General features: G+C 37.5%; 1 protein-coding gene and 1 pseudogene across 2 annotated transcripts in view; one reads left to right on the forward strand and one right to left on the reverse strand.

Moving 5' to 3' along the window:
• OR10J1 (olfactory receptor family 10 subfamily J member 1) overlaps positions 1–13,765 on the forward strand; it is a 43,503-nt gene that overhangs the window by 7,214 nt on the left and 22,524 nt on the right. For both annotated transcript variants that reach the window (NM_001363557.2, NM_001363558.2), the window contains exons 2-3: positions 627–718; positions 1,569–1,735. The gene's annotated coding sequence lies outside the window, so the exon portion shown is untranslated. The remainder of the gene's footprint in view (positions 1–626; positions 719–1,568; positions 1,736–13,765) is intronic.
• Positions 744–1,730, reverse strand: OR10J9P (olfactory receptor family 10 subfamily J member 9 pseudogene; annotated as a pseudogene).

Genomic DNA, 13,765 nt, shown 5'->3' on the forward strand with positions numbered 1-13,765 from the left:
TTCATGTTACTCCATTCATTACAAAGAGCAAGTGACAATGATAAGAGAACTAGATCCAAATCCTATCACTACAACTGTCTAGTTTCGTGTGCCTGGGCAGATAAATTCTATCTATATGTGCTTTAGTATTTTCAGGTCTAAGATAGGGATGATAACATAATTGTTTCCCAGCCTACTCTATAGGGTTCATTAAGGATCAGGTGAAATCCTATATGTGAAACTTCCTTATAAACTATAAAGCGATGTACAAACATATAGAACTTTGTTTTCAGTGTGATAAACGGTAATTCCCCGTTTTTATACCCCATGATAATGGTGGTGCAAGACATGAGGTAGCACTATCGAGGAGAAACTGCATATACTCATGGCTCACCATGGGCTCCATAGGGTGAGGGTGATGCCTACACCAGTGAAAGAGGAACCAGTAAACTTATACCAAAGTTTGTGAACAAATAAAGACATGAGGAAAAAAGGTGGATCTAAGGGGGAAATTGTATAAGGAACAACTAAATTAACACTTTCCATTTTCACCTCTGAAGGTTCCCTAGCCTCAAAATAGAATAACACATCTGAAGCTTTTTACAAGGCATCCAACATGAATCTTCCATTTTTGTGTTATTCGGCAGGACCTGTGATGACATTCCAGGAGCAGGCCCCATAGGAGGCTCCCTGGACTGTGGAGAATCACAATATTCCTGACTGCCAAAACTTTGGAGAAGTAAGCACATGAAGGGAGGCCATCACAATCTTGATACACTGGGGGTTGAAGAGTTTCCTCTTCATGGCTCTGCACAGAGCATCTTTGAGCTCCTTGTTCCTCAAGATCTACATGACAGAGTTCAGCAGGGGAGTGATAATGGTGTAGGTCACTGAGATGAGTCTGTTCTGCCCCAGGAAACTCTGGGACTTAAGCTTCAGGTAGATGATGGAAATATAGCCATAGTGGCTGATGACCACTATGAGATGGGAGGTGCAGGTGGCACAGGCCTTCTTCCTACCCTCAGTTGAAGCAATCTTAAGGATGGTGTAGATGATGAGGTCATAGGAGATAAAGATCAGGGCAATATGTAGGACAAGGACACAGACACTGACAACAAAGTTGATTATCTCATTGACAGTGGTGTCTGTGCAGGCCAGCTTCAGCAGGGGTCTCACATCACAGAAGAAGTGGGAGATGACAAAGTCATCACAAAAGGGCAGGCCAAACATAGATGTTACTTGGACAATAGCCATGCCCAGGCCAATCCTCAGTGACCCAGATCCCAGCCAGACACAAGCCCTCTTACCTATGAATACCGTAAGGGGTTGCAGAAGACCACATAGCAATCATATCCCATGGCTATGAGAAGAAAGCAGTTGTTGATGCCAAAAGTCACATAGAAGAGCTGAGTGACACAGCCTTGCATGACAATAAGCTAGTGAGGATTCAAGAGGCGAGAAAGCATATGGGGAGTAATGGCCACCATGTAGCAGGTCTCAGAGATAGACAGCAATGCTCAGGAAGAAGTACATGGGGGTGTGGAGGTGAATGTCCAGGCGAGTAATGGTCACAATAATCACATTGCCAGAGACAGTCAGCAGGTACAAAGTTAGAAAGACAACAAAGAAGACAAATCTGTGCTGTCACCTGAAGCTGGAGAAACCTTCAAAGAAGAGCTCAGTCACAGCAGTGGACTTTGACCTTGGCACTGAAGAATGTCTAAATCTGAAGGAAATGGACAACGGAAAGACAGAGGTGAGGCTCCAACTATGTAACAGATTACACAGTTGTCTGAGCAGCATCAGTTTTTTGGATTCCTTAGATAATGTTCCAGGCACAGGGGTTATCTTTGTTCCTCTACTGATCAAGAGCTCAGCACTCTTGGGAATAAACTAAGAGACATCTAATGACCTACTGGATTAAGGGCAGAGATCAAAGGGAAGGAAATTTCAACATAATGTGAACAACAAAATTAAGAAAACAGCTACCCTACTTGACCATTAAAGAGGTGGGTCCAGGTCAGAGAGGAAGAAAATGTTGAATGGGCCAGGCACTTCAGCTTCCTCTATGCTTACCCTTAATCTGAGCCTTTGATGACACAATGAGGAGGCAGAGATAGTGAATGTTGATAAATATCTGGGTTTAATCCATTCATTTCCATCAGTATGAATTGCCAGCAAAGACTGCCCTGGGAGGATCCCAGATCAAGCATTCTTCCCAAATATTTGGAGTCCTGGGCATTACTTTCCTTAGCTCTGCTCCTTTAGATGACTAGTGCAAGGCCAGGCTGTGGGCGAGCCACCCAAACTACAATAGTGGCCATGTTTTCGGAAATAGAGGTCAATGTTTTGGTCTTTTTTTCCAGTTGTTACCATAACAAACATTTCTGCAATAGAAAACTTTGTCAGGATGTCATTTCACACATAAGTGAATAACAGGTAGTGAAAAAATGCAGAGTCAAAAGTTATGAGCATCTTCAACTTTGATAGAGTGCCATGTTTTTCTCTATAAAATTTTTACCAAGTGATCTCTCACAAAGAATGTATCAAAATGCAATTTTCCATTGTTATGGCTCAAAGAAGAAATAGAGTGTAATGGGAAGCAGTATGTACTCTGAAGCCACACTGCCCAGAATTTAATTTTGGTTCCACCAGGTCATAACTATGTAACTGTGGGCAAGTTATTTAACTTGTCTGTGTCTCAATTGCTTTATCTCTAAAATGAGCTTAATGATAGCAACTTCTTTACAGAGTCATTGTGAGGATTAAATCCATTAATATCTCAAAGTGCTTAGAAAAGTCTCTGGCACCTAGTGAATGCTATATGGTACTCTAAGTGTACATAAAATCTGAAACATTCCATCAGCAGAGATATTAAAGGAGATGTGTTTAACCAGGAAGAATTCCAATGATGATTTTAGAAAGAATTGGAAGCTAAAGACAAAGGACAGTAATTACAGAAACTGTGCATGAATACAATCAATTTTATAACTTATTCAATGTGGTTATGTAGTTAATTCTTATATTTCTCTATGAAATCAGTGATAAAATTCACAACTGATCTTAAAGGGAGAAGAATCCCAAAGAAGAGCATTACTTAATTTATTTATTCATCAAATATTTCTTATTCCCATACTATGTGTCAAGGTCTATGAATTCAATAGCTAGTACATTTTAGTTTCTTGTTAATTATTTACTGAGTGAATAAAGCATGGGAAAGAGTCCCTGATGTTAAATAACTCACAACATCAATAGAAAAGAAAGGTAAATGGGAGTAACAATGTAGAGAGTAAGGGGTGCTATGATAGAGCTTAGTGTAGGATGATATGGAAACATGAAGAAGGGTTCCTAACTCAGTCTTAGGGTCAAAGAATACTATAAAGGAGGTATTGTCCAAGATAGTAAAGGAAAAGTGAATAAGGCTTATGTTGCAGGCAGCATCAAGTATGAGGGCCCAGCATTTCTAAGATCCAGATGAAGCAGCATGAGAATCTCTGTAGCTCAGTGGTTACATATGGAGGACCCAGAAACAGAATAGCAAAGACTTGGAACCAACCCAAATGTCCAACAATGATAGACTGGATTAAGAAAATGTGGCACATATACACCATGGAATACTATGCAACCATAAAAAATGATGAGTTCATGTCCTTTGTAGGGACATGGATGCAATGGGAAATCATCATTCTCAGTAAACTATCGCAAGAACAAAAAACCAAACACCGCATATTCTCACTCATAGGTGGGAATTGAACAATGAGAACACATGGACACAGGAAGGGGAACATCACACTCTGGGGACTGTTGGGGGATGGGGGGAGGGGGGAGGGATAGCATTGGGAGATATACCTAATGCTAGATGACGAGTTGGTGGGTGCAGCGCACCAGCATGGCACATGTATACATATGTAACTAACCTGCACATTGTGCACCTGTACCCTAAAACTTAAAGTATAATAATAAAAAAAAAAGAAGGCCTGGTGATAAATTCTCATTCCACCTGGGCAAAGTCTGAACCTGTCTGTAACACAAGTTCCTCATCTATAAAATGGGTAATGTTAGTACTTAACTCATAAGAATATTGTGAGGCTCAAATGAGTCAATACATAAATCATTGAGCAAGGTGACTGACAAATAGTAACATCCCGAAAAATTTTGGCCATAATTATTATTATCATGATTAGAGAAGATTATTATGTCATGTTTAGGGAATAAAAGAGTGGTTCTGAATGGATCTAGGACTTTGTGCTTCATAGCAACATTAAAGAGGCTGAGTCCTTGGGAACTGCTATAAGGAAGAAAGAGAAACCAAGCTATGACCCTGGGATTGAAAAGCACCATGGTGTGTGGGATTTTCCAAAACACAAATGATGAATTTGATATGTCCGTCATGTACTTCCTAGTATTGTGTGAGCTGAATGAGCCTATATTGCTCTGTGCACTCCATTCGTAACTGTATTTAAATGAATCACATCCCTTCTCTGCTTCTTTTACTGTAGACTTCAGAGTCTCTTCTTATCAGATAACTTGCACACTGGAGATCTTGAGACTCTCACCAGGGCATTTCCGCAGCTATTCTCTGAATCTTCTGCAGTAGTGTGAATGAGAAATTTACCTGCGCTGCATGAAGCTGACCAAGGATTTGCATAAGGATTCTTTTCTTTTGACTGCTCACCGATTAAACCCATCTCCGCTTTGTTTTTAACTTTTTAGGCCTGTATACTTAGGAATAGCCTATTGTGGCATCAAATTCCACTTTCTTTTTAATTAGTAAGTCAGAACATTGTGCTTTAAGCATACTCCGTACTCTCTTTTTCTAATACATTATTTTGCAATTTCTCACTGAGACTTACCTGCCTCTTCCAACCAGCTGCAAAGAGATTTTGGTCATTCATTTCCATTGATTTTATATCTTCACAAACTTTGAGGAGTCTACCTATACATTTCCATCAAGATAATTAACCACTTAACTTTACATGTATTATCTATCTCTAATCTATCCATAATGATAAAGTCTCTCCATTATTTTAATGGCTCAAATGTTGAAGACAGCTTTTCCAATTTTTTAAAAATTATATTGAATAGGAGTGGTGAGAGAGGGCATCCCTGTCTTGTGCCAGTTTTCAAAGGGAACGCTTCCAGTTTTTGCCCATTCAGTATGATATTGGCTGTGGGTTTGCTATAGATAGCTGTTATTACTTTGAGATACGTCCCATCAATACCTAATTTATTGAGAGTTTTTAGCATGAAGGGTTGTTGAATTTTGTCAAAGGCCTTTTCTGCATCTATTGAGATAATCATGTGGTTTTTGTCTTTGGTTCTGTTTATATGCTGGATTACATTTATTGATTTGTGTATATTGAACCAGCCTTGCATCCCAGGGATAAAGCCCACTTGATCATGGTGGATAAGCTTTTTGATGTGTTGCTGGATTCATTTTGCCGGTATTTTATTGAGGATTTTTGCATCAATGTTCATCAAGGATATTGGTCTAAAATTCTCTTTTTTGGTTGTGTCTCTGCCCGGCTTTGGTATCAGGATGATGCTGGCCTCATAAAATGAGTTAGGGAGGACTCCCTCTTTTTCTGTTGATTGGAATATTTTCAGAAGGAATGGTACCAGTTCCTCCTTGTACCTCTGGTAGAATTTGGCTGTGAATCCATCTGGTCCTGGACTCTTTTTGGTTGGTAAGCTATTGATTATTGCCACAATTTCAGAGCCTGTAATTGGTCTATTCAGAGATTCAACTTCTTCCTGGTTTAGTCTTGGGAGGGTGTATGCGTCAAGGAATTTATCCATTTCTTCTAGATTTTCCAGTTTATTTTCGTAGAGGTGTTTGTAGTATTCTCTGATGGTAGTTTGTATTTCTGTGGGATTGGTGGTGATATCCCCTTGATCTTTTTTTATTGCATCTATTTGATTCTCCTCTCTTTTTTTCTTTATTAGTCTTGCTAGCAGTCTATCAATTTTGTTGATCCTTTCAAAAAACCAGCTCCTGGATTCATTAATTTTTTGAAGGGTTTTTTGTGTCTCTATTTCCTTCAGTTCTGCTCTGATTTTAGTTATTTCTTGTCTTCTGCTAGCTTTTGAATGTGTTTGCTCTTGCTTTTCTAGTTCTTTTAATTGTGATGTTAGGGTGTCAATTTTGGATCTTTCCTGCTTTCTCTTGTGGGCATTTAGTGCTATAAATTTCCCTCTACACACTGCTTTGAATGTGTCCCAGAGATTCTGGTATGTTGTGTCTTTGTTGTCATTGGTTTCAAAGAACATCTTTATTTCTGCCTTCATTTCGTTATGTACCCAGTAGTCATTCAGGAGCAGGTTCTTCAGTTCCCATGTAGTTGAGCGGTTTTGAGTGAGTTTCTTAATCCTGAGTTCTAGTTTGATTGCACTGTGGTCTGAGAGACAGTTTGTTATAATTTCTGTTCTTCTACATTTGCTGAGGAGAGCTTTACTTCCAACTATGTGGTCAATTTTGGAATAGGTGTGGTGTGGTGCTGAAAAAATGCATATTCTGTTGATTTGGGGTGGAGAGTTCTGTAGATGTCTATTAGGTTCACTTGGTGCAGAGCTGAGCTCAATTCCTGGGTATCCTTGTTAACTTTCTGTCTCGTTGATCTGTCTAATGTTGACAGTGGAGTGTTAAAGTCTCCCATTTTTATTGTGTGGGAGTCTAAGTCTCTTTGTAGGTCTCCAAGGACTTGCTTTATGAATCTGGGTGCTCCTGTATTGGGTGCATATATATTTAGGATAGTTAGCTCTTCTTGTTGAATTGATCCCTTTACTATTATGCAGTGGCCTTCTTTGTCTCTTTTGATCTTTGTTGGTTTAAAGTCTGTTTTATCAGAGACTAGGATTGCAACCCGTGCCTTTTTTTGTTTTCCATTTGCTTGGTAGATCTTCCTCCATCCTTTTATTTTGAGCCTATATGTGTCTCTGCACATGAGATGGGCTTCCTGAATACAGCACACTGATGAGTCTTGACTCTTTATCCAATTTGCCAGTCTGTGTCTGTTAATTGGAGCATTTAGCCCATTTACATTTAAAGTTAATATTGTTATGTGTGAATCTGATCCTGTCATTGTGATGTTAGCTGGTTATTTTGCTCATTAGTTGATGCAGTTTCTTCCTAGCCTCGATGGTCTTTACATTCAACATAGTGTTGGAAGTTCTGGCCAGGGCAGTTAGGCAGGAGAAGGAAATAAAGGGTATTCAATTAGGAAAAGAGGAAGTCAAATTGTCCCTGTTTGCAGATGACATGATTGTATATCTAGAAAACCCCATTCTCTCAGCCCAAAATCTCCTTAAGCTGATAAGCAACTTCAGCAAATACTCAGGATAGAAAATCAATGTACAAAAATCACAAGCATTCTTATACACCAATAACAGACAAACAGAGAGCTAAATCATGAGTGAACTCCCATTCACAATTGCTTCAAAGAGAATAAAATACTTAGGAAGCCATCTTACAAGGGACGTGAAGGACCTCTTCAAGGAGAACTACAAACCACTGCTCAGTGAAATAAAAGAGGATACAAAGAAATGGAAGAACATTCCATGCTCATGGGTAGGAAGAATCAATATCGTGAAAAAGGCCATACTGCCCAAGGTAATTTACAGATTCAATGCCATCCCCATCAAGCTACCAATGACTTTCTTCACAGAATTGGAAAAAACTACTCTAAAGTTCATATGCAACCAAAAAGAGCCCGCATCGCCAAGTCAATCCTAAGCCAAAAGAACAAAGCTGGAGGCATCACGCTACCTGACTTCAAACTATACTACAAGGCTACAGTAACCAAAACAGCATGGTACTGGTACCAAAACAGAGATATAGATCAACGGAACAGAACAGAGCCCTCAGAAATAATGCCACATATCTACAACTATCTGATCTTTGACAAACCTGAGAAAAACAAGCAATGGGGAAAGGATTCCCTATTTAATAAATGGTGCTGGGAAAACTGGCTAGCCATATGTAGAAAGCTGAAACTGGATCCCTTCCTTACACCTTACACAAAAATTAATTCAAGATGGATTAAAGACTTAAATGTTAGTCCTAAAACCATAAAAACCCTAGAAGAAAACCTAGGCGTTACCATTCAGGACATAGGGATGGGCAAGGACTTCATGTCTAAAACACCAAAAGCAATGGCAACAAAAGACAAAATTGACAAATGGGATCTAATTAAACTAAAGAGCTTCTGCACAGCAAAAGAAACTACCATCAGAGTGAACAGGCAACCTACAACATGGGAGAAAATTTTCACAACCTACTCATCTGACAAAGGGCTAATATCCAGAATCGACAATGAACTCAAACAAATTTACAAGAAAAAAACAAACAACCCCATCAAAAAGTGGGCAAAGGACGTGAACAGACACTTCTCAAAGGAAGACATTTATGCAGCCAGAAAAACACTTGAAAAAATGCTCACCATCACTGGCCATCAGAGAAATGCAAATCAAAACCACAATGAGATACCACCTCACACTTGTTAGAATGGCAATCATTAAAAAGTCAGGAAACAACAGGTGCTGGAGAGGATATGGAGAAATAGGAACACTTTTACACTGTTGGTGGGACTGTAAACTAGTTCAACCATTGTGGTAGTCAGTGTGGCGATTCCTCAGGGATCTAGAACTAGAAATACCATTTGACCCAGCCATCCCATTACTGGGTATATACCCAAAGGACTATAAATCATGCTGCTATAAAGACACATGCACACGTATGTTTATTGTGGCACTATTCACAATAGCAAAGACTTGGAACCAACCCAAATGTCCAACAATGATAGATTGGATTAAGAAAATGTGGCACATATACACCATGGAATACTATGCAACCATAAAAAATGATGAGTTCATGTCCTTTGCAGGGACATGGATGAAATGGGAAATCATCATTCTCAGTAAGCTATCACAAGAACAAAAAACCAAACACCAAATGTTCTCACTCATAGGTCGGAATTGAACAATGAGAACACATGGACACAGGAAGGGGAACATCACACTCTAGGGACTGTTGTGGGGTAGGGGGAGGGGGGAGGGATAGCATTAGGAGATATACCTAATGCTAAATGATGAGTTAATGGGTGCAGCACACCAGCATGGCACATGTACACATATGTAACTAACCTGCACATTGTGCACATGTACCCTAAAACTTAAAGTATAATAATAATAAAATAAAATAAAAAAGTAAATAAATAAAAATAAAAAAATATATTGCTTGTTTTTATTAATCTTTCTTAAATGTATGTATAGTTCACACTTATTTAATGGGTTTTTTAGGTTTTTAAATTGGCACATAATATTTTACATATTTATGGGGTACATGTGAGTATTTGTTACATGCAGTGAATGTATAATGATCAAATCAGCGTATTTAGGGTATCTATCACCTTCAGTATTTATCATTTCTATGTGTTGGAAACATTTCAAGTCCTCTCTTCTAGCTACTTTGAAATTTACAATACGTTGTTACTAGCTGCAGTCACCCTAACCTGCTGTGGACCATGAGAATTTATAACTTCTAACTGTATGTTTGTACCCATTGACCAACTTCTCTTCATCACCACCCTCCTACCCACACACCATTCCTAGGCTTTCGTGTCTACCGTTCTGTTCTCTACCTCGATGAAATCAACTTTTGTAGCTCCCACATATGAGAGAGGACATGTAAAATTTTTCTTTTTGTGTCTGGCTTATTTCACTTAATGACCTCCAGTTCCATCCATGTTGCTTCAAATGATGGGATTTCATTCTTTTTATGGTCAAACAGTATTCCATTGTGTTTACATACCACATTTACTTTGTACATTTGTCAGTTGATGGCCACTTAGGTGAATTCCATATCTTAGCTATTTTGAAGAGTGTTGCAATAAACATGAAAGTGTAGATATCTCTTCAATATATTGATTTCCTTTCTTTTGAACATATACCCAACAGCAGAATTGCTGGATCATATGGTAGTTCTATTTTTAGCTTTTGAGAAATGTCATACTGTTTTCTATAGCAACTGTACTAATTTACGTTCCCACCAATATTGTATAAGAGTTCCCTTTTCTTGGCATCTTCTGTTATTTATTAATTTTAGTAATAGCCATTCTAACCAGGGTAAGATGATATATCTCATTGTGGTTTTGATTTGAATTTCCCTGATGATTAGTGATATTAAGCATTTTTTCATGTATGGTTGGTCATTTGTATATCTTCTTTTGAAAAATGTCTATTCTTGTCCTTTGCCCACTTTTTAATTGGATTTTTATTTTTACTGTTGAGGTGAGTTCCTTGTATATTCTGGATATTAGTCCCTTGTGGGATGAATAGTTTGCAAATATATACTCCCATTCAATGTGTTGTTTCTCAACTTTTGATTGTTTCCTTTGCTGTGAAGAAGCTATTTAGTTTAATAGAGTTCAATTTATCTGTTTGTTTTTATCTATGCTTTTGCGATCTTCATTATACATAAATCTTTGCCTGCATCAGTATTCTGAAGGGTTTTCCCTACGTTTTCTTCTAGTTATTTCATAGTTTTGGGTCTTACATTCAAGTCTTTGATCCATCTTGAGTTGATTTTTTTATATGGTGAGAGATAGAAGCCCACTTTTATTCTTCTGCATATGGACATCCAATTTTCCCAGTACCACTTATTGAAGAAGGTATCCTTTTCCCAATGCATGTTCTTAGTGCCTTTGTCTAAAATCAGTTGACTGTGAATAAATGAATGCATTTCTGAATTCTCTATTCTGTTTCACTGGCCTGTGTGTCTGTTTTTATACTAATACCATGCTATTTTGGTTATGATAGCCCTGTAACACATTTTGAAGTCAGGTCAGGTGATGCCTCTAGCTTTGTTGTTTGTGCTCAAGATTGCTTTGGCTATTCAAGCTCTTTTTTGGTTCCATACAAATTTTTGGATTGCTTTTTCTAATTCTGTGAAATATGACATTGATATTTGAATGGAGATTGCATTGGATCTATAGATCACTTTGGGCAATATGGTAATTTTAATGATATGAATATGGTAATTAATTTTAAACGATATGACTAATATTCACTTTTAGTAATATGTTAATGATATTAATTATTTTAAGAACATGAAAATATTAATGTGATTAATTATTTAATGATAATTAATTGTTTAATTTATGAACGAGACATCTTTTCATTTGTTGTGTCCTCTTAAATTTCTTTCATCAATGTTTTATAGTTTTTCTTGCAAAGCTCTTTCACCTCCTTTGTTAAATTTATTCCTAGTTTTTTTTCAGTTATTGTAAATGGGATTGCCTTCTTTATTAAAGAAATAAAGAATTCACTAGGTCACTATTCATGTATAAAAATGCCATTGATTTTTGTGTGTTGATTTTGTATCTTACAACTTTACTAAATTTATTTGTAGATTTAAGAGGTTTTTTTTGGTGGAGTCTTTAGGTTTTTCTAGATGTAAGATTATATCATCAGCAAAGAGTGACAATTTGATTTATTCTTGTCCAGTTTGAGTATCTTAGTTTTCTCTTGTTTGATTGCTCTGGCTGCGACTTCTATTACTACATCAAATAAGAACGGTGAAAGGGAGAATCCTTGTCTTGTTCCAGTTCTTAGATAAAAGGCTTTCAGGTTTTCCCCATTCAGTACAATGTTAGCTGTGGGTTTGTCATAAGTGGCCTATATTATGCTCAGGTATGATCTTTCTTTGCCTAGTTTCTTGAGACTTTTTTTATCATGGGGGAATATTGCAAAATAATTTTTCTTCATCTATTGAGATGATCATATTGTTTTTGTCCTTTTTTTTTTTTGATGTGCTGTTGGTTTTGGTTTGCTAGTATTTTGTTTAGAATTTTTGTATCTGTGTTCATCAGGAGCATTTTACTGTAGTTTTCTTTTTTGTTGCATCCTTGTCTGGTTTTAGTATTAGGGTAATGCTGCCTCATACAATGAGTTAGAGAAAATTTTCTCTTTTAATTTTTTTGAAATAATTTGAGGAAATTGATGTTAGTTCCTTTTTGAAAGTTTGGTGGTATTTTTCAGTGAAGCCATCCAATTCTGGGATTTTCTTTGTTAGGAGGCCTGTTATTGTTGATCCAATCTCATTACTCATTATAAGTGTGTTCAAGTTTTTTATTTCTTCCTGATTCAAGTCTTGGTAGGTGATATGAGTCTAGAAATTTATTCATTTCCTCTAGGTTTCCTATTTGTTAGTGTGTATTGCTCATAATAGTCTCCAATAATCTTTTCTAATTCTGTGGTATCAGTTGTAATGTCTCCTTTTTCATTTCTGATTTTATTTATTTGGGTCTTCTCTCTTTTTCTCTTGGTTAGTCCATCTAGCAGTTTATTGATTTTGTTTATCTATTAAAAACATTTCATTTCATTGATTTTTTGTTTTTTAGGTCTCTATTTCATTTAGTTCTGCTTTGATCTTTATTATTTCTTCTACTAATTTTGAATTTGTTTTGTTCTTGTTTTTCTAGTTCATTGAAGTAAATCATTAGATTGTTTATTTAAAATCTACTTTTTTCTATATGTGTTTATTTCTATAAAATTCCCTCTTAGCACTGCTTTTGCTGTCTCCCACAAGTCTTGGTATGTTGTGTTTCCATTTTATTTCTTTCAATAAATCTTATTTCCTCCACAATTCCTTTCTTGATCAAATGGCCTTTGAGGAGTGATATGGTTTGACTCTGACCACACCCAAATCTCATCTTAAATTGTAGTTCCCATAATTCCCACACGTCATGGGAGAAACATGGTGAGAGGTAATTGAATCATGGGAGCAGGTCTTTCTCATACTCTTCTCATAATAGTGAATAAGTCTTACGAGATCTGATGTTTTTAAAAGTGGAAGTTGTCCTGCACAAGTTTTCTCTCTTGTCTGCTGTCATGTAAGACATGCCTTTCACTTTCTGCCTCCTCAGCCACGTGGAACTATGAGTCCACTAAACTTCTTTTTCTTTATAATTAACCAGTCTCAGGCAGTCTTTATTAGCAGTGCAAGAAAAGACTAACAGTAAATTGGTACCAGGAGTAGGGTGCTGCTGTATAGATACCTAAAAATGTAAAAGCAACTTTGGAACTGGGTAACAGGCAGAGGTTGGAACAGTTTGGAGGGCTTAGAAGAAGACAGGAAAATGTGGGAAAGTTTGGAACTACCTAGAAACATATTGACTGGCTTTTACCAAAATTCTTATAATGATATGGACAATGAAATCCAGGCTGTGGTGGTCTCAGATGGAGATGAGAAACCTGTTGGGAACTGGAGTAAAGGTGATTCTTGTTATATTTTAGCAAAGAGACTTGCATCATTATGCCCCTGCCCCAGAGATTTGTGGAACTTTGAACTTGAGGGAGATGATTTAGGGTATCTCGTGGAAGAAATTTCTAAGCAGCAAAGCATTCAAGAGGTGACTTTGGTGCTGTTAAAAGCATTTAGTTTTAAAAGGGAAGCAACATAAAAGTTCAGAAAATTTGCAGTCTGACAATGCAATAGAAAAGAAACTTCCATTTTCTGAGGAGAAATTCAAGCCAGCTGGAGAAGTTTTCTTAAGTAACAAGGAGCCAAATGTTAATTGCCAAGACAGTGGGGAAGATGTCTCCAGGACATGTTAGAGACCTTTGCAGCAGCCCCTCCCACCACAGGCCAGGAGGCTTAGGAGGAAAAAGGGGTTTCCTGGGCCAGCTCCAGGGACCCCTGTTATGCACAGTCTATTGGTGCCCTGAGTCCCAGCCACCCTAGCCATGGTTAAAAGGGACCAAGGTACAGCTCAGGTCATAGCTTCAG

Source organism: Homo sapiens, chromosome 1, assembly GCF_000001405.40.
Source record: "Homo sapiens chromosome 1, GRCh38.p14 Primary Assembly".
In the NCBI taxonomy this organism is placed as follows: domain Eukaryota; kingdom Metazoa; phylum Chordata; class Mammalia; order Primates; family Hominidae; genus Homo; species Homo sapiens.